Source organism: Homo sapiens, chromosome 18 (genome assembly GCF_000001405.40).
Source record: "Homo sapiens chromosome 18, GRCh38.p14 Primary Assembly".
Classification (NCBI taxonomy): Eukaryota; Metazoa; Chordata; class Mammalia; order Primates; family Hominidae; genus Homo; species Homo sapiens.
This window is the reverse complement of record NC_000018.10, coordinates 35,979,313-36,000,610: the sequence shown is the minus strand read 5'-3', so window position 1 is coordinate 36,000,610 and position 21,298 is coordinate 35,979,313. Positions and strand designations below refer to the sequence as shown.

General features: G+C 38.8%; 1 protein-coding gene across 3 annotated transcripts in view, besides 1 other annotated feature; it reads left to right on the top strand.

Moving 5' to 3' along the window:
* RPRD1A (regulation of nuclear pre-mRNA domain containing 1A) overlaps positions 1-10,787 on the top strand; it is a 77,736-nt gene extending 66,949 nt beyond the window's left edge. For 2 of the 3 annotated variants that reach the window (NM_018170.5, NM_001303411.2), the window contains one exon: positions 7,311-10,787. In NM_018170.5, coding sequence (NP_060640.2) covers positions 7,311-7,460 — 150 coding nt within the window. In that variant the 3' untranslated portion in view covers positions 7,461-10,787. The remainder of the gene's footprint in view (positions 1-7,310) is intronic. The other variant, NM_001303412.2, reaches the window with a different exon arrangement.
* Positions 15,357-16,556: an enhancer, noted in NCBI's record as "CDK7 strongly-dependent group 2 enhancer chr18:33564018-33565217 (GRCh37/hg19 assembly coordinates)". NCBI's record gives its function as "activates an origin of replication core promoter dependent on BRD2, BRD4, P300/CBP, MED14 and CDK7 cofactors, with strong dependence on CDK7, by STARR-seq in HCT116 cells {active_cell/tissue: HCT116}" and the evidence as "EXISTENCE:reporter gene assay evidence [ECO:0000049][PMID:35650434]".

Genomic DNA, 21,298 nt, shown 5'->3' with positions numbered 1-21,298 from the left:
AAATCTTGGAATACATAAAGTTTCTTTGTAACATCTACCCTAATAATTTAACATTACCGGTTTTTCAAAACCTAGTTGACAGGCATTGGGTTCCTTGCAGAAAACTTGATAAAATATCTTTTTCCACATGTTGTTAACAATCTGGAAGATTAATGAAACTCTGCAATAGTGGATTTCTTAAGAGAAGGAACTAAAGGAAGTGAGACAGTTCGTTAGATGATACTTACTTACATTAAAGTAATTCCCACCAAAAGGTAAAACTTCTGCAGTCAAGGGGGAAAAAATGACAGCTCCATCTGAGATGTATAGGATAACCTGTGAAAAGAAATGAGAAAGGATTGGCTATATTGGAGTTTATATTTTTAAAATTGTCAATTCCAGGATTAGATACCAAGCCAAATTTGAGCATTTGTTTCCCAGAAGGTGAGGGCAAACCACTGAGATCTTTATTTCCTTTGCAGTCTGTCCCCTGGGGATGGTAACAGACTTGACTAATCTGCAGTCTCAGAAACGCCCTGACATCATGGAATGTCTTGGCCTTATTAAAAAAAGAAAATGGGTGTGTGTGTGTTATATCTTGATTAATACTTCAGTTAATTTTTTCCTCTAATCTAGAAAAGGGCCCAATTCCAGGACATGAAAAATGAAGTAAAAGTAAATGGTGATGGATCCTAATAATGAGAACTGAAGCTTCTTAATAGTTCTATTGAAGGCAGTGGCTTAAGAAATACTTGTATGTTAACTTCTTAAAAGAGGCAAAGGACATTATACTACAGATAAATGAGGTCACCAGAGAAAACAAACTTTGCACCTTTTTTCTCTACAAATTCTGCTGTTTTTATCAAGAAATGGGTAGGAAGCCATAGGTCTGCAATACAGTAAGTATGATGCTTAGAATTGACCAAAGCCTTTAATTGACCACTAAAGATCCCCATATGGATGTGGTTGAAATTCTCTCTTTTTTTTTTGTCACAATTATGTAGGAAAGATAAAATGAATTATTAGCAGCATCTGCAAGAAAAAGGCAGCCATGTAAATATTTTAATTTCAGAAATATTATGTATTTAAAGCAACTAGAATTTTAGAACATAACAGGGTCAGCCCTAAAATGAACAAGAATTCCAAATTTCAGGAAATTTATTCTCTTAGATGTTCTTACTGCAAGGTGATTCTGATATCATCTCAGAATGATAACCACAATTATATAGCACTTCCTAATTTGAAAACTTCCACATAATTTGGCCACACAGCACTGTAAAATAGTACCCTTATTTTATGAAGGAGGCATCTGAGACTTAATTAGATAACCTTCAGGAGCCCTTGTCCAGGTTTACATAGGAAGTAGATTGAGGAAACAGTACTCCATCCAGATCTGACTTCATGGAGTGTTGACTGGGGCGTACTGTTAATACTCAGTCCCCTGCTGGACACTGCAAGTAATGTAGATATATAGAAAGTGTGTTTTCTAATTATGGGTATGAAATTAGAAAACAATCCAGTAGTAATTCAGAAATAACTTGTATAGTAGTATATCATAGGAAGTTAGCTTGAGGCCAGAGTCAGAAAAGATTCTATTGCAGTGTTTGGTCTTAATGTAGGACTTGAAAAATATATAAAATTTGGATCCTCAATATATACTTAGTATTAGCTGTAAAGAAATCTGTAATGGTGGTTCAGATTTCAAGAAGCTGTAGCCCACTTGCAGTGCACACAAGGCAAGTCACACCTCCTAGTTCACTAGTGTTGAAGTATTATAGCAGTGTAAAGAAGGCTTCTGCCCTTGGAAAGACAAGACAGACTTAACATGGATTACAACCAAACAGCGCAGAGATAGTTTCAGCTAGGAGCCTAGAGTAAGGATGCTAAGAACAGGGGAAGAGTTTTAGGCAAAGTGAAAATTTGCCTGGATTATGACAGATGGGCAAAATTTTGGAAGACTGGAGGGGCTTGGATATGATCAGTGGAATTGAGCCTTGGTATGAAGCTGGAACTGCAGAAACTGACATGAGGGTTGCTCATGACTGAGGTGATAACAAGCTTTAGGGTGGTAGTGGTGATACTTGTGGCAAGTAAAGGGTAAATTAAGGACAGAAAGGTGGGCCTTGTTGAATGAGGAAAACGGAGGAGAAGAAGTAAAGTGGCTTCGGTCAACAGAGTAAGAAGAATGAGGTAAAGCATTGGTTCCCAAATGCACCCATGCCATGGTGCCACCTGAGAACATTTATTTTAATAGTTACATTTTTTTTTTTAGTTTTTGAGACAGTTTCATTCTTGTTGCCCATGCTTGAGTGCAACGGTGCAATCTCAGCTCACTGTAACCTCTGTCCCAGGTTCAAGTTGTTCTCCTGCCTCAGCCTCCCAAGTAGCTGGGATTACAGGTGCCGCCACCACACCCAGCTAATTTTTGTATTTTTAGTAGAAACAGGGTTTCACCATGTTGGCCAGGCTGGTCTTGAACTCGTGACCTCAGGTGATCCGCCCGCCTTGGCCTCCCGAAGTGCTGGGATTACAGGCGTGAGCCACTGCGCCCAGCCCTAGTTACGTTTATTTTGATGTGTGAATCAAAACGAAAATGAGCACAACCAACCTGTGATTGCATGGATATTATTTCTTAGAATGAAGATGTTAAAAAATGAGTTGATTTAAATATTATGTAAATAACAGTGTAAGGGAGTCATGGTAAAGAACGTTATGAAGGATGGTAGTTAACTAATTGAAGTTTGGAAAATAGTGATTAAAAATTGGGAGAGGTGGTATGAGGAAAATTTCTGGGGTTCTGAAAAAGCCTATATCTTGATCTAGGTGTTGGTTACACGGATGGGTACACATACATACTAACTGAAGTATCTACTTAATAGTTATGAGTTTTATGTTGTGCCCCAATTTAAAAACTTTAAGTAGCTTTTGACTAAAGATGGGTAAGATGGAAAGAAGAGCAAAATTTGTAGTAGAGGAAAAAGGTGCAAAGTTGGTTTTCTTTGCTGATCTTATTTGTAGTAGAATAGATACTCAGTTACATTCATTTTATTTACATTCTCTGCTTTCCAAAAATAATTTTTAAAAGCGTGTAGCTAAATCAATATAAAGAAATTGCTTATGAATGTTGGGTGTTGAATGTTTTGCTTATGAATGTTGCATTTCTTAAGAGATACATATGTATATACACATGTGTGAAAGGTTTAACCATTCAAATGATAGAATTTTTTTCCCTCTTTTTTGACATTTCATTCATCAGTTTTTTTAAAAAGTGTATTCTATATATGTGATATGTGAATGGTCAATAGGATGTTAAAGCAATACATTGTTACATGGTCCGAAAATAGTAGTGAAAGTTGAGATATGAGAAAAGTCATTGGGGAATGTTCAATATAGTTTGGGATTTCAGCTGGCACTTGGAAGTATGGAAAGAAATTGGTATCCTGGACAGGTAAAGGAGGAAAAACTTGAACAAAATATTCTAAATAGGAATTTGTACTGTATTTGGCTTTAAGGGAATTTTGTTCATATTGGGCTTAATATCATAAAAATTCTATATAGTTTAAAATAACTTCAATATATTTGCTGTAGTGGCCATATATTATTTGTAATCTTAAATTACAGATAGTTCTTTTTTTTTTTTTTTTTTTTTTTTTTGAGACAGGGTCTCACTCTATTGCCTAGGCTGGAGTACAGTGGCACAATCATGGCTTATTGCAGCCTCGACCTCCTGGGCCCAGGTGACTCCCACTTTAGTCTCCTGTGTAGCTGGGACTACAGGTGCATGCCACCCATGTCTGGATAAGTTTTGTACTTTTTGTAGAGACAAAAAGTTTCACCTTATTGCCCAGGCTGGTCTCAAACTCCTGAGCTCAAAGCATTCCACCCACTTCGGCCTCAAAATGCTGGGATTATAGGTGTGATCCACTGTGCCTGGCCAGTATTTTTAACCAAGTTGCATCACAGTGTTGATAATACAACTGCTATTCTGGAAAACATCTCAAAATGTTTTTGGTTGTATCTTTTTGAATAGCAAATGTCGTATCATTTGACCAGAAATAACTAAGATCTATTAATTTATTCATCAATTTTGATGTATCAAAATCAATTATGTTACATGGTGCCTGGTGTTAATGAACCTTGAGCAGTTTATGTTCACTTTTTAGTAAAAGTTGAAAGATTTATATTACCTGAAGGGAAACCAGCGTGTTATCTTCAGTTTTTAAAGCCTCAGTTTTCTTATCTATGGAACGGGAATAATGATGCCTGTGTTTTAGCATTTTTGTGAAGATTAAGAATTATGCAAAACAGCTTTGATAATCTGGGAAAATGTTTAGTTTGTCCATCAGACTTTCTTTAAAAAAAAAAAGTTTTAATTTTAGAATAATTTTAGGTTTACCAAAAAACTATGAAGAGAGTATAGAAAATTCTCATACACTTCACATCCAGTTTCCCCTATTGTAACATCTTACATTAGTATGATACATTTGTCATAAGTAGTGAACCAATATTGACACATTGACTAAAGGCCACACTTTATTCAGATTTTCTTAATTTTTACCTAATGTCCTTTTTTCTGTTCCAGGATCCCATCCAGAATATCACATTAGATTTGGTTGTTCTGCTTCTCTTGGGTGTGACAGTTCCTCTGACTTTCCTTGTCTGATGACCTTGATAGTTTTCAGCACTACTGGTCACGTCCCTCATTTGGGATTTTCTGATGTTTTTCTCACAGCTAAAGTGGAGTCATATGTTTCAGGGAGGAAGACCATAGAGGGAGAATGCCATTTTCATCTCATGTCAAAGGAAATACTGTCAACCTGAGTGATAGTGTTGATAGGACCTTTATCACATGGCTTAGGTATTGTTTGTCAGGTTTCTTCTCTGTAAAGTTAATCTTTTTTCCCTCCTTTTCATACTGTACTCTTTGGAAGTCAGTCATCACATACAGCCCACACTTAAGAAGTGGGAAACTTTTCAGATATGAAATGCTGTAGGTGAACCTTTTTCAAATATCAAATTACAATGAATTTGTTATTGCATTCTTTTATAAGAACTTGGAGACAAGGCCGGGCACAGTGGCTCATGCCTGTAATCCCAGCACTTTGGGAGGCCAAGGCAGGTGGATCTCCTGAGGTCGGGAATTCGAGACCAGCCTGACCAATATGGAGAAACCCCATCTCTACTAAAAATACAAAAAAATTAGTGGGGTGTGGTGACACATGCCTGTAATCCCAGCTAAACTCAGGAGGCCGAGGCAGGAGAATCACTTGAACCCAGGAGGTGAAGGTTGTGGTGAGCTGAGATAGCGCCATTGCACTCCAGCCTGGGCAACAAAAGCGAAACTCCGTCTCAAAAAAAAAAAAAAAAAAACGAAAAAAAGCAAAAAAATTGGAGAGCAGATAGTCTTAGTTAAGGATAATTACTGAGTTATTCAGATAATGGATGTGAGTGGTATTGTTCAGCAAGCCAGTATTTTCATAAGAAAAAAGTGGGAAATTTTCCAAATACATGCTCACTTCTCTATCCTGGTATCTACTATTTTACTGCTCTTTTCATGATCCTTTTCAACATTGGTGACATTTCTGCATTTTGCTATTAGCTCACTTCTCTTCCTTCCTGTGTGTACTGTGATTCTTAACCAGGAGAGGGACGAGGGTCATGCCATCTTTTGGGTGGATACATTAGAATCATGGGGGGTAGTGTGGTATGATGGAAAAGATAGAAAATCAGATAGATTCATTATATGTATATTTTTACTAAAACCACAAAAAATAAAGTTTGATGAAATCTTGGCTCATGGTAGATGTGCAGAAGAGTAGAGAAGGGAGGGGCAAAATGATTGAGAAACGTTGTAGATTATTTATATAAACCTAAGTGGCTCATACTCTTCTCTTGGTTTTAGCTAGAATTTGTCAGTTATAAAGCCTAAATCTTTATTTGTAGCTCAGAATACTGTAATCACATTTCCAAGTGCCTACTAGAAATCCCATGGATAACTCACAGTTATCATGCTTAAAAATGAACTCTGTATCCTTCTCCAAAGGAGTTTGTGCCCCTCTCTGCTATCTCAGATAACAGCTCCGATATCCACCTGCTTATGAAGCCTGAACCCTCATTATTCCTCACAGCAGAACCACAACCAATTCCTGCTGATTTTTCTTTCTAAACATTTAGTCTTTGACATTAAGGTATTATTTACATATAATGTAGTTTTTAAAGGACATTGCTCTATCCTTACTACTGTTGGTTTGGTTCGGTTCAGGCCCTAGTCCTTTCTTTCCTGGAGAGTTGCAGTAAACTCCTAGCTGGGTTTCTTCCTTAGATGTTTCCTCATCTATGCACTCTCTAGGATGGTCCTCTCAGGACTTACCTGTGACCACATTTGGAAAGAGCGTGAATCTCCCTGCCTTGTGCCATGCACTGTGGTAATAGTGAATTGCCATGGACATATCTATTTTACTGCCTGCTACTTCCTTAGACCAAATCTTTGAGTCAGGACCCTGGAACTGAGATGGGTATAGTGGGAAGCTTTTCTCTGAGTGATACCCTGTTGTGGGTGCTGAGCTTTTGGAGAAAGGGAGGGGTGCAGCAGCCTGAGGTTGTCTTGGCTTGCCTCTTCTGCTGTGGAGCCACCTTCCTCATGAGTTGGGGGTGAGGCTTATCAGGGCCCAAGTATTCTCAGTCCTCCACGCATAAGAAGGAACTTCTTTTCCAGGAGTGGGGGCTGGACAGGAGGGAGTCCCCAGGCTCTTCCCTGCTCTATCTCAGGACTTAGCTTCAGCACCAGGTAGTTGGGGTAGGATGAGAGGCGCTCTTTCTGGGAATAAAACCCTCCCACTGGGAGTTGCAGGGAGAGTGATCCTGTATTCTTGGCTGCAGCAGTCTGGAGTGGACCCTCCTTGCTTAGATGGGAGGGCACAGGAAGGGAGCAGTCCTGCTTCAGACACCACAGACTCTGGCCATTCCTACTGAGTTTTCATAGATGTTCTTGCCAAATTTTAGTTAAGGTTTATGAAAATAAATATGTAATTTTTCTTGCCCAAACTCAAGAATACCTGAACATCTTATATGTCGAGGTTAAGCACATTAATGTTAGTCTTCTTTCTACTGGTGTGAAGCAACAGCTAAAGATTGTGGTTTTTCTTAATAATAATAGTTTACTAGTTATATATTTCCAAAGCTCATCTTTTGATGTGAAAACTCACACTGGAATAACCTTTTTAAATATGGCATTAACTGAGTATATATAGTACCTGGGTTTATGTAGGTCATTATTAGCTAGGAAGTTTTTTCAATCCCTGAATGCTAATGAAAGTGGTTTGATGTTACAGGAGTACAAGCGCAAGCTAGCCAGAGTTTCCCTGGTGCGCAAAGAACTCAGGTCCCGGATCCAGAGCCTGCCAGACTTATCTCGATTGCCCAATGTCACTGGCAGCCACATGCACCTGCCCTTTGCGGGAGACATCTACAGTGAAGATTGATGGACCAGCCTCTTTCCAGGTCCCAGGACTTTGCAAGAGATGGAGACAGGTTAGGTGGATAGTCCTGTAGTGTTATTTTTGTATATTGTTGAGAAAGAAACACTAACAAAAGGAACAACGAGTAATTTATAAAATTGTTTAAAATGTTGGTTTGTTTACTATTTTATTGGTAAATTAACATGACTTAATTTGAACAAAGTGATGATTTGTGTGTATTAATAAGCTCACAAATAGTGATTATTTTCAAAAGATCTTTTTGTAAATTTTTTTTTTGATCCAAGGCCTTGTGAGAAATCTCTTGTTTGTATTTCTTCAGGTATTTTCAATTGTTTTTCTTTATTTTCTTCAGCATTTAATCACTGTATACTATGTAATTCCTGAAGGGGAAGAACTAATTAGGAGTTGATTGAGACTTTATTATGGTATAGTTAGGACTTGATTGTAGAAGGGACTAAATGTTCCAACATAATCTTTACCCTTCTCCCCAAACAAAATATCAATTCTGTGTCTCTACATGCCTTTGATTCCTTAGAGGTCGGTAATTTAACATAAAACAGGGATGTCACTTTGAGGGGCAGATGAAAGTCTAGAGAACTGTTCCTTAATAGCATTGTAAAAGTTCCATTCCAACTGCCAGTGTAGATTTTAAAAGTGTTAAATAGTGACTCCCTTGATTAAACTGTTTGTAATTATTTGAGTAGATTAATAATGAAAATACTTTGGAAATAATATACATTTTGACATTCTACCAAGAGGACAACTTTGGTTCTGGAACTGGTTTCTATTTGTCAAATCAGTTTCCTTTTAACATAATTAATCCCTTTAACAAAAAGCCGTCTATGGGATTAAAAGACACGTGAAATGATACTTTTATTATTCCCTTGCTCATATAACTTTAAAAATAATACTTTTAGCTCTAATAGCTCAAGAACACAATATTCGTTAATGTTCAGTAAAGTAGCCTGAGACATTTTCAATGTTTCCTTAAGGTTTTTGAATGACTGTATATTTGGCAGTTAAGCAGTGCCACACTACAGGGTAGATATGGTAAATTTTATATTTGTATATTTACAGTTACAAAACAAATGTACTTTTACCTTTTATTTCTGACCCTGTGTGTTAGAGCAGTTGCATGCTCTCCTGCTGTTAAAAACACATTGTTAAGCTGTGGATTTGTACTCAATAATGACTTAGGATAAACATTTATTTTCATTCATTGCTTTACATACTAGACATTTTTCTTCTCTTTGTAAGTAGATTCAAATTAGATAGTCAATAAAACATCTTGAAAATCCCACAAGCCAATTATGTCTCTCTAGTCTGAATGGCTTCATTGTTTCTTTCTCAGTATTAGAAATTATAGTTACAATGAATTGCATATGAAGAAGGCAGACATTTATTTTTAATAGCCAAGTAGTTCTGCAAATAGTTCTTTTAACAATTTGACCTCTCTCCAAAACAGAGACACATATAAGTAGTGCTCATCCATGCACTACTAATAATACATGGCTTATTCCAAAGTTTTTAGTCAACTTTTGGGACTTGGGGTGCATTTTCTCACAGAAAGAATAGTAGTTAGGTTCCCTAACACTACCGCTGATAGCTCACCTGGGAACTGAATCCACCTAACCATGAATGTCCTTCACTTGTAACGTGGTTCACAGGTTACTAATCATAGATCCTGACCAGCATTTGTAACACTGCTCTAACTAGGACACAGCATGCAGCAGCCACACTCACACCCTGGGATGTCTGTGTACCTCTGTCCCTAGGTGTAGGAAATGGAAGAAAAAGATTCAGCCAAGTGGGGAGGTGACAGATGCACAATTATGAAACCTGGTTGTACATGTTATGAAAGTATACTAAGTAAGTTAGTTTTTATTATTAATGTGAAAGCAAAAACTTGTATGTTAACTTATTTTCAATATCTTGACCTTATTTATGATCTGCTAAAGTGGTGATTTATCCATTCAAAATATATATTTTTTTCCATTTAAAACTAATTTATAAACTATGTACTCCTGGGAAGATTTGAAATCTTTTAGAAGTTTGTTGAAATATTTTCACCATTTCAGACAGACTTCTGACTTAGATACTGATTTTAATGCCAGTATCTGCTCTAAATATTTATGATAAAAATGCATTATTTTTTTAAAGAGCTTGATGAGATTTGTGATAAGTGATAGTACTCAAAAACCTGAATCCCACCCCTCGACCAATCCTCCACAAACTTCAGTTGTTGGTTAACGTATTAACTGAACACAGACAATACAGTCTGATTTAGAAGTCATCTTTTCAGCCGTGTGATAATTAACATGGTAAGCCTTAGCAGCAAACATTCTTCCTAAAAGGAAGACTTCATTTTCTCAAGAAATGGGATTAGTTGGGGGTATTATAATACCAAATTGTAAATCATGAGCGTTTTCTCCACTGTGCACCTGAGGCAGATCATGCATCTTTGAGTGCAGTTTGGTCTGACCCCTCAAGAGAAAAGCATGGTGCCGTAGGGCTGCTATGGTTTGAATGGATGCCATCACTCTTTTCTCCACATACAGTGCAGAGAGCTGTCTGGAGTCACAATCTGAACAGATTCTCGGGCGCTCCTTCTCTCCTTCCATCACTACAGTAAGTAAAAGGACCATAGAGGGGAACCAGGAATCTGAGAATCAGCTGTGCTCAATAGCCAACCTCCCTGTCCAGATGCAGCTATTTTGGTATCTCCTATCACATGCACTCTGAATCAGGGTTTTTCTATAAGAAATCTTTCAGAATCAGCAAAAGTGGGGATGACCCAGGCATCTTGATTTGCAAAATCACAAAACTAAGTTGTCAGTTATCACTGTAGATGAGCAACTCATCTTTTTAAAGTATAGTTACTGAACTGATTCTGAGAAATCTTTAGAGAGAAAAAACTCAACAGTACAAATTAACTAATTGGGAAAGTTAGAATGTCCTTTCTGAATTTTTCATTAAAAAAATTACATTATCTGAAATAACATAAAGCTACTAAACTGCTTTGTATTCTATTAAGAAATAGCTCCTAAGGATGTAGTCTTGTTTCATAGTTGTTGCACTATATCAAAACTTAAAATGTAAGCCCAGTTCTTCTCTGTATAGAAAGGAAACATTGTGTTACTTAATGAATTATTTATACAGAGCATTTGTTGCCAACTGTTGTTCCAGCCATCCACACAGGAGTCTGTTCTGAGGTGGCAATAGCACATGGGAAGATGAACTTTCCCTGTTTGTTTACCCGTTCTTCTTTGGCTGTATCTGATGACAGTATAAGATGTTCTTAATAAAGTTTTATGTTCTTTTTGAAATGTGTAGGTTGTTTTGTGAATCTGATTCATTGGATATGGGGTGGGAAGGGGAAAGATTAATGGACTGGGAGGGAAGCAAAGTACTGGAAATAATTCTGATGTTATGGTAGAGAGACTGCTGAAGGAGGAGATTTACTTGGCCAGTAGTTCCCAAACTTGAGCGAGCATCAGAATTACCTAGAGCCAGTTTGTCCAACCTGTGAGCTGCACGTGACCCAGGACGGCTTTGAGTGTGGTGCAACACAAATTTGTAAACTAAAACATTATGAGATTTTTTTTTTAGCTCATTAGCTATCATTAGTGTATTTTATGTGCAGCCCAAGACAATTCTTCTTCAGGGTGGCCCAGGGAAGTCAGAAGATTGGACATCCCTGACCTAGAGGATTTATAAACTACAGATAGTTGGGCCCCACTCCCAGAGCTTCTGATTCAGTAGGTCTGGGGTAAGGCCTGATGGTTTACAGTTCAAACAACTTGATGCTGATGCCACTGGGGTTAGGGACCACATTCTGACAACCACTGCTCTAAACAAATTCCAGGTAATAAGATAATAAAGTATGGTTTTTATAATTATATAGCAAGTTCCTTATGGGAAAAGAACAAGATCACATATTCTTTTGTGGTCCACTGCTTAGTAGTGCTTTATTAAGTGCTTTTGAGTGAACAGATTCAATTGGTACTGTCAACCTCCTGGAGCCCATGCCCTTTTACCACTCCTTGAATTTAAAGCAAAACTGAAGATACTAGAAATCTGTGAGAATCTCCAGGGCAGTGTGTGCCATACTTTTTGGTAAACTCAATTGGAGCATTTACAAAAAGGATACATACCTACTGAGAAAATTTTCTGTGATTCTTACCATCATCTAAAAAGTTGGGGAAATGTAGTCCTCTGGCCACAGCACCCCTGGTTCTCTATTCCTGGGTGGCATCTGGTCACTTTATCTGAATTCAGATACTTCCCATTCCCATCCACTTTTTTGCTTCTGCAATAGGTTTTATACAGTGGAACCCATACCCAGAGATTCTGTTTCAGAAGATTTGGGATAGATGCAGAAATCTGCATTTTAAACAAGCTACTCAGATGATTCTAATGCAGGTAATTCATAGACTGCACTTTGAGAAACATGCCCTACAAAGCAATATATGGTCTATAACAGATGATAATGGTAGCTCACATATATGGTACTTACTGTGCACCAGGAACTGTTCCAAGCACCTCGCTTATCCTTTGTGGTAAATACTCTAATTATTCCACTTTTATATCTGGGCAATGAAAATAATGTAAGGTCTGTGTGACTCTGAACGAGTCAGATGGTGAAGATGAGATTCAAACCTGGCTCCAAGTTTGACTCCAAGCTGGTGCTCCTTAACCACTATATGATGCTTCCTCTTACACTGATATGTTCTGTTGCAGCTCCACCATCACCAAGTCTACATTTTGCATAACATTTCATGTGATAGTAAAATTAACGTTATCCAAGTATTCAAGCTAAAAAGCAAGATGTCAGCTAAACGCACTATTGAAGGATGGGGGCTTGTGAGAGGATGTTACACTTTTTTTTTTTTTTTTTTAGTTAAAATGTACATAGCAGGCTTGGGTGCGGTGGCTCACGCCTGTAATCCCAGCACTTTGGGAGGCTGAGGGTGGGTGGATCAGCTGAGGTCAGGAGTTCAGGACCAGCCTGACCAACATGGAGAAACCCCATCTCTACTAAAAATACAGAATTAGCCGGGTGTGGTGGCACATGCCTGTAATTCCAGCTACTTGGGAGGCTGAGGCAGGAGAATTGCTTGAACCCGGGAGGCGGAGGTTGCGGTGAGCCAAGATTGTGCCATTGCACTCCAGCCTGGGCAACAAGAGCGAAACTCGGTCTCAAAAAAAAAAAAAGTACATAGCAGTATATACATATGGTAAGTTGTAACCATTTTTAAATGTACTCTGGCATTAAGTACATTGACATTGTGCAATCATCACCACCATCCATGTCTCAAAATTCTTCATCTTCCCCAGCTGAAACTCTGGACCCTGTAAACAATAACTCCTCACACCACCCTCCTCCCCACCAGCCCCTGGCAACAACTGCTCTCCTTCCTGTCTCTATGAATTTGACTTCTAGAGGTACCTCACATAAATGGAGTTATAAAATATTTGTTCTTTTTAGGACTGACTTATTATACTTAATGTCTTCAAGTTTCTTCCATTTTGTACCAAATGTCAGAATTTCCTTCCCTTTTAATGCTGAATAATATTCCATTGTGTGTGTGTGTACACCATGTTTTGTTCACTCATCCATTGATGGACACTTGGGTTTGCTTCCACCTTATGGCTGTTTATGAATAAAGCTACAATGAATGTCACTGTACAAATATCTGTTTGAATCCCTACTTTCATCTCCAATTGTTTTTTTCAAAGCAATTATTTGTATTCACATCAATAAAGCAGAGTTACAGTGAACTATTGCTAGGGATATTCTAGACAACATATTTCTTCCAAGCCAGCAGGTTCGTTAGGCCAGTAGGATTAGCCTCAGATGGGAACTTGTTAGACATGCAAATTCTTGGGCCCCCAGACTTACGGAATCAGAAAATCTGAGGCTGGGGACCAGCAATATATCTTTTTAACTAGCCCTCTAGGTAATTATGATGACCACTTAAGTTCCAGGTCTGTTTTGGGAACCACTGTTCTAGGCATCCAACATGTTACCTCAAATATTCTTCTCACATATGGCAAACCTTTAGAGGGTGTAAAAGGACTTTTTGTTCCAATAAAAGCAATTGTAATAGCAGGCCTTCATGACAAGCCAAAGAAGTGCTTTTCATCTGCCTTATTTTTAAGTTGATGCGTGCAGAATGTGCAAGTTTGTTACATGGGTAAACATATACCATGGTGGTTTGGTGCACCTATCAACCATCACCCTGCATGCATTAGCTATTCTTCCTGATGCTCTCCCTTGTCATCTACTTTATTTTAAACTTAAGAACCCCATTCTCCACCTGGGCAAATTCCTCTATATTTTCTTATTTCATTTCTCTGTCTAGCACAGTTCTTTTAATTCTTCTGAGGATGGCAGAGTGAAAGAGAAACAAATGCAGTTTGGGGTCTGACCATCATCTGCCTTACCATAAAAGACTCAGTAGCCCTTGGTATGATTATACCACCACAGGTTTTTTGGATGACATAAAAAAATGGAAACTATATTTTAATGTCTCTTAATTCCAATAATTTGGAATTATTTCAGAGAAAGTGATTGATTGATTGATTTTTCCTGAGACAGAGTCTCACTCTGTTGCCCAGGCTGGAGTGCAGTGGCCCAGTCTCGGCTCACTGCAACCTCTGCCTCCTGGGTTCAAGCGATTCTCATGCCTCAGCCTCCAGAGTAGCTGGAATTAATGGGCACGCACCACCATGTCCAACTAATTTTTGTAATTTTAGTAGAGATGGGGTTTCACCATGTTGGCCAGGCTGATCTCAAACTCCTGACCTCAGGTGATCCGCCCACCTCAGCCTCCCAAAATGCTGGGATTACAGGCATGAACCACCATGCCCAGCCGAAAATCATTTATATACATCTTGTACTTCCGACTCTGCATTGAGTCATTACAGGAAGACCCAACAGAGGCTGAAAGGACCTCTTGTATGTAATTTTGGAGATTGGATCATTTGGGTTTTCTACATTTCATGAAGTGAATTCACGGATCAGGGTTTCTTTAACTTCAGTACCTACATGCCACTTCAAGAAACGATCATAAGTGAAAGTAGCTACCAAAGTAAGTCTGTCTTAGAACACCAACCTGCCTTCAATTGAACATAAACAACTAAAGATGTATCAGAAAAGTGTTGATATTGTTAAAGAAAAAAATCACTGACACGTTAAAATGGTAGGGAAAATTCTATTCAGGACTACAGCTATAGGTGTCAAGACTATCACAGTAAGGGAGAGAGATTGGGTTAAACTCAATATAGCAAAGACAGCTGGGGCTTTGTAGCCAGTGAGCAGAGTGAGGGGGTCAGTGGATGGAAAACTACCAAGGAGACATCATGGGTAGGGAGATTCTTGCTAAACTGACTTTGACAGGATTCTTGCTGAAGGCAGGCCAGAGTGGTCAGATATCAAGGGTGGAGAATTCTCACTAAACTGATTTAGCAGGATTCTTGCTAAAACTGGGCTAGGCAAGCCAAAGACAGAGCCCAAGGATGAGGCCTAGTTGAAAAGAGGGCTCAGAGAAGCCTGTCTAAAGAAGAGTCTGTCAGAATAATCACAACCAAAAAATTTTTACAAATACCCCAAAACAATTTGCCTGTATTATTAGTGGGATGTATTCAAAGGAGAACCAGTGTAGGGTGGGTGCTAAAATCTTGTTGGTCACCAGTGGTTTTATTGTTAGTATTGATATTAATACTTAATAGATACATTGATCAATATTCCATCTGCTCTTCTAGGTGTTTTTCATGCACCATCTCACTGAGACCTCAACAAAGTTTTTATGAGGTAGGTACTGTTAATATCTTCATTTTACATATAAAGAAACACTCAAATTGAGAATTTGTTGAAGATTACACAGTTAATAAATGGCACAGCCAGGTACTGTACCAGGGCAGGACTACAAAGACTACAAGCTTAAGCAGTAGGCTATACTACCTCTCGAGTAATTCTTAGTCATAATTAAGATTTTTTTTTTTTTGAGACAGTCTCCAAAACAACCGGAAGCTGTTGCCCAGGGTGGAGTGCAGTTGTGCAATCTCGCTTCACTGCAACCTCTGCCTCCCAGATTCAAGCGATTCTCATGCCTCAGCTTCCCTAGTGGCTGGGATTACAGGTGTGTGCCACCATGCCTAATTTTTGTATTTTTAGTAGAGATGGGGTTTCACCATGTTGGCCAGGTGGGTCTTTTACCGCTGGCCTCAAGTGATATGCCCACCTTGGCCTCTCAAAGTGCTGGGATTACAGGCGTGAGCCACCGTGCCTGGCCACGAATTTTCATTAAAGGGGTAATTGTATGATTTATCAAGTTAGAAAAGATACTATTATTTGGTTGAAGGGTTAAAACATTCAAGTAATGTTAAGTGATAAGATATGCAAACTTACGATTTTTTAAAGGAATTTATCTCTTCCAGTTCTGTCTCTGGCGTGGTCTAATGTAGCAGCACCATTACTGTTCCTGAGTAAAAGCATCCCGATCTTGGGTTTTTGGTATCAGTGTGAATTTCTGCTCAAAAGTAGCAAGATCTCTTGGACAGTGGCTGCTTCCATGTCAGGGGCTGAAGGAGTGAAGATGGTCCTGGAACTTTTCTTTGCAGAGAAGCAAGCAGGGGATGCCTTCAAAGTTCTGATGGAGCTGAACAAAGAAGCCAGCTTACAGCTTACTGGCCAAGGTTTAACAACTTGAGCATCAAAATGGAAAATACAAATTGTAATTAATTAAAACAAGTAGACTGTGAAAAACTGTTTCTATCATAACGTTTTTAAAAGAAAAATTGAGATATTCTTTTCAAATAACTAATATATACAAATTTATTTTTATTCTGAAAACTATTTCATTTTAAGTTTAACATCAGGACACAGAGAAGTGTATTGCACATATTCTAGTTGAGTTACTTATACCCTGGGGTTACGGCCCTCACAGAGCTCATACTGGGAGGCACACAGGCAGGAGACTTTCAGCAAACTCCTGTGTGAGAGCTGTGCTGGGGCGAGTACGGTGCTCCTCAGAAGTCCATTCTTCAAGAGGCATCTGACTCAGATTTGTGATCAGAGCTATGAGTATTTCTCTGTGTTACACAGCAATAGTTTACTAAGAGGAAAAAAAGTGCTAAGAGGATGGATCCTGTACAGCGAGAGGCTGAAGATGAGAAGGCAGGGCGATTCCATATACCATGGTCCTGAATCAGAGGGATGGAATCCCCTGGTGAATAAGAGGAAGACTGCCTATTATAACTGAACAGGAATGAGAAAATGAGAGGACACAACTTTAAAGCAGTGTCTGAAATGTGCAATTGTATTTTGAGACCCAGTTAATTCACTGGTACTACTCCTCGTGAATATGATCCATTTGGGAACATTACTTGGGAGTTCTAAAATCTGAGTAGGGACCAAATTAGAAGTCACCATTGTGTAAAAGGCCCAAAGGGCTGTGCTGAGGGGGAGAATAGTGCATACTTTAGAACTAGGGTATGTTGAAGATGATTTTGGCCTCGATTGTCATCAACTCCGTCATCCCAGAGTTTTTTGTGTCACCAAGGCACACCAATTTTTGTCCCCTCCTGCTGTTTTCCCAGTCATTCCTGTTGGCTTTTCTCTCTAATAGGGTTCTGCTTACCCCATACATCCCCTTCTGGCTGGTGAGGGTCTCCTTTTCATCCTCATGATGGCTGCCTTTAACTTAGGCTTGCTGGTCCACAGGGTCAGTGGTATTCTGGTCACATGTTCCAGGTTCCACAGCCCATGACTAGAAAAGTAGCCCATGGCTATACTGAGCTGTCTTCAGGATGCACTGCTGCAGCCAGTAGGATGCATAAGCATGTGACAGGCCCTATGGCAATATGGTGGAGGCCCAGGAAAGCCATGAAATTAGAGCTGCTTAAAGTCTGAGCCTATGTTGCATCTCTGCTGCTTCTCTTTACAGGATTTAAAACTTAAATGTCTACATTAAATTTAAGGTAATGTTTATTTTTTTAAGGATAGATAATTCACATAAAATTTACCTTTCCAATGTGTAGAATTGTGTTTTTAGTATACTCAGAGTTGTACAACCATGGTTACTATCTAATTCCAGAATATTTTCATCACCCTAAAAAGAAACCCCATACTCATTAGAAGTTGCTCCCCATTCTCCCTATCCCTCTGGCAACCACTTGTCTATTTCTATTTATTTTCCTATTCTGAACATTCCATATAAATGGAGTCACACAATATGTGGTCTTTGGTGTCTGGCTTCTTGCAATTAATACAGTGTTTTCAAGGGTCATTCATGTTCTAGCATATATCAGTAATTTTTTATGACAACATTACTATTCCACTGTATGGAAAAACCACATTTTTTTTATTCAACAGTGGCTGGACATTCAAAAAACACTCTTTTAGCTATGTTGAAATTTCTGTCTTATGCATATTATAAACACTACTGCCATGAACATTCATATATAGGTTTTTGTGTGGACATCTGTTTTCAGTTATCTCGGGTATATGCCTGAATGGAATTGTTGGGTCATATAGTAACTCTGTTTAAATTTTTGAGGAACTGCCAAACTTCCAAAGTGACTCCACCATTTTACAATCCTAGGAGCAATGTGTGATGGTTCCAATTTCTTTACATCTTCACCACTTGTACTGTGTCTGTGAGTCAGCCTAGTAGGTATGAAATATCTTTTCGTGTATTCAGTAGCCATGTTGGAGAACTGTGTTCAGATTCTGACCATCATCTTCTGTCTTTTTATTATTGAATTTTAAGAGTTCTTCATAATTCTGGATGTAGGTCCCTTATCATCAGATACAAATGCTTCTCAATTTAGGATGGGTTATGTCCTGGTAAACCCATCATAATGTTAAAAAAAATCTCAAGTTGGGGCCGGGCACGGTGTGGCTCATGCCTATAATCCCAGGACTTTAGGAGGCCGATTCGGGCAGATCATGAGGTCAAGAAATCGAGGTCATCCTGGCCAACATGGGGAAACCCCGTTTCTACTAAAAATATAAAAATTAGCTGGGTGTGGTGGCATGAACCTGTAGTCCCAGCTATTCGGGAGGCTGAGGCAGGAGAATCACTTGAACCCAGTGATTCAAGTGAGGTTGCAGTGAGCTGAGATTGCACCACTGCACTCCAGCCTGGCGACAGAGCAAGACTCTGTCTCAAAAAACAAAAAACAAAAACAAAAAAAACTCAGGTTGAACCATCATAAGTTGGAGGTCATTTGTGTATGATTTGCAAATATTTCCTCCCATTCGGGGGCTGACTTTTCACTTTCTTGATGGTGTCCTTTGAAGAGAGCACACAAGTCTTTAATTTTGATGAAGTCCAGTTTATCTGTTTATTTTTCTTGTTGTTGCTTGTGCTTTTGGTGTCATATCTAAGAAACCACTGCATAATCCAGGGTTATGAAGATTTACTCCTGTATCTTCTTCTAAAGGTTTTATAGTTTTATCTCCACACTTCAATTTTCAAATATTCTTTAGAAATGCCCAAAGACCTTTCTGCGAAACAGAAAAGTCAAGAATCCACAGTGTCCCTCACTTGCAAATGAAGTAATGTGGACAACTTCCCACCTGAGAGTTTCTATCTTTACTACTTTTTATCTACTTTCCAATCATGTGCTCAGAAAGGACCTTAGTTCTTAGTGTGGAAGAAGTAGAACTTATTAAATGTAGTAAGTCTTGGAATCTGCAGTTTGTGCTATGTGCTGGGCAACAAACTAGGTGTTGGGGGTACAAGTGAGACCACTCAGGTCTGCAAAGAGCTCACAGGCAGTTGGTAATGATCAGAAACAAGAAACTACAGGGTCACCAGAACTGTGAAAAAAAGTGGCCCCTCATAATGCAGTGGGGTTGGGGTGGAGGGCAGTCTCCAAAGTGAGACCTAAAGGAAAAAGCACATGCAGAGGCCCGAAGCTGCCAAGTACATGGTATGCATTGAGAACTGCAAAGAGCTCGCTATGACCAGGTGATCAGGAGCAAGACGAGTTCAAGAGAAACAGATGTTCTAGAGAGAAGTTAGTCAGAAAGGTAAAGCAGCTACCATGACCATTGTGTTGTGCCAAATGTTGTGGACACAAAGTGAATACCTGGCCTTTTGGTGCTGGCACCAGTTAGCACAATTTCATTTCATGCAACTATAAGAACAAGTTGTTAATCTTGGCCTTTGAGTATTTTTAATTGATAAATAATAATTGTAGGCCAGGCGTGGTGGCTCACACCTATAATCCCAGCACTTTGGACGGCCGAGACGGGCGAATCACTAGGTCAGGAGTTCGAGACCAGCCTGGCCAACACGGTGAAACCCCATCTCTACTAAAAATACAAAAAATTAGCTGGGCGTAGTGGCGGGCACCTGTAATCCCAGCTACTCAGGAGGCTGAGGCAGGAGAATTGCTTGAACCCAGGAGGTGGAGGCTGCAGTGAGACAAGATTGCACCACTGCACTCCAGCCCAGGTGACAGAGTGAGACTCCGTCTCAAAAAAAAAAAAAAAAAGACAAATAATAATTGTATATATTTATGGGACACAATGTGATGTTTCATTACATGTATACACTGGTGTAATCCAATCAGGCTAATTAATAGATCCATCACCTCAAACATTTATCATTTCTTTGTGGCGAGAACATTAAAAAACCCTCTTTTGGCTGGGCACTGTGGCTCACACCTGTAATCGTAGCACTTTGGGAGGTTGAGTTAGGAGGATTGCTTGAAGCCAGGAATTCAAGACAAGCCTGGGCAACAAAGTAAGATCCTGCCTCTACAAAAAATAAAAAAAATTATGGCTTCTTATAGTGGGAAATGAAAAAAATTAAAATAAAATATTAGCCAGGTGCAGTGGTGTGTGTCTGTAGTTCCAGCTATTCTGGAGGCTGAGGCAACAGGATCACTTGAGCCCAGGAGTTCAAGGCTACAGTGATCTATAATCATGCTATAGCACTCCAGCCCAGATGACAGAGCAAGACTCTGTCTCTTAAAAAAAAAAAAAAAAAAAAAAAAAAGGCCAAAAATCCTCTTTCAGCTATTTTGAAATATACATTAACTAGAGTCATCATGCTGTACAAGAGATCATAGAACTTATTCCTCTTAATTGAAATTTCCCCTCCCCCAACCACAGCCTCCAGTAATCACTATTATATCCTCTACTTCTATGAGCTCTACTTTTTTAGATCCCATGTAAATAATACAGTATTTGTCTCTCTGTGTCTGGCTTATTTCACTTAGCATAATGTCCGCTAGGTTCATCCATGTTATCATAACTGACAGAATTTCTTGCTTTTTAAAGGCTGAATAGTATTCCATTGTGTATATACACATTTACAAAAATCCATCCTTTGACAAGCATTTCTGTTGTTTTCATATCTTGGTTATTGTGAATAATCCTACAATGAAACACTGTAGGGCAGACATCTCTTTGACATACTGATTTCAATTCCTTTGGATATATATGCAGATATGGGATCATATGGTAATTCTACCTTTAGTTTTTTGAGGAACCTCCATACTGTTTTCCAAAGTTGCTGTACTAATTTATAGTATCACCAACAGTATGTTTCCTTTTCTAAGAAAGAAAATTTTAGTTTCCTATTGAGTGATCTATAATCAGGAATGTTCCAGATATTTACTTTTGCAATCAAAATAGGAATAAGGTTCAGGTTTTACTAAGATAGTTATGCAGATAATTGTGAGAAAATAAGGACCCACTTGATCCTATTCCTGAATTATCAACAATGCTATAGACACATGGAAGAAACCCTTGAGTGAATAGACCCTCTCATAAAGATCTCAATTTCCTTTTGAAAGACAATAACATAAATAAAAACTGC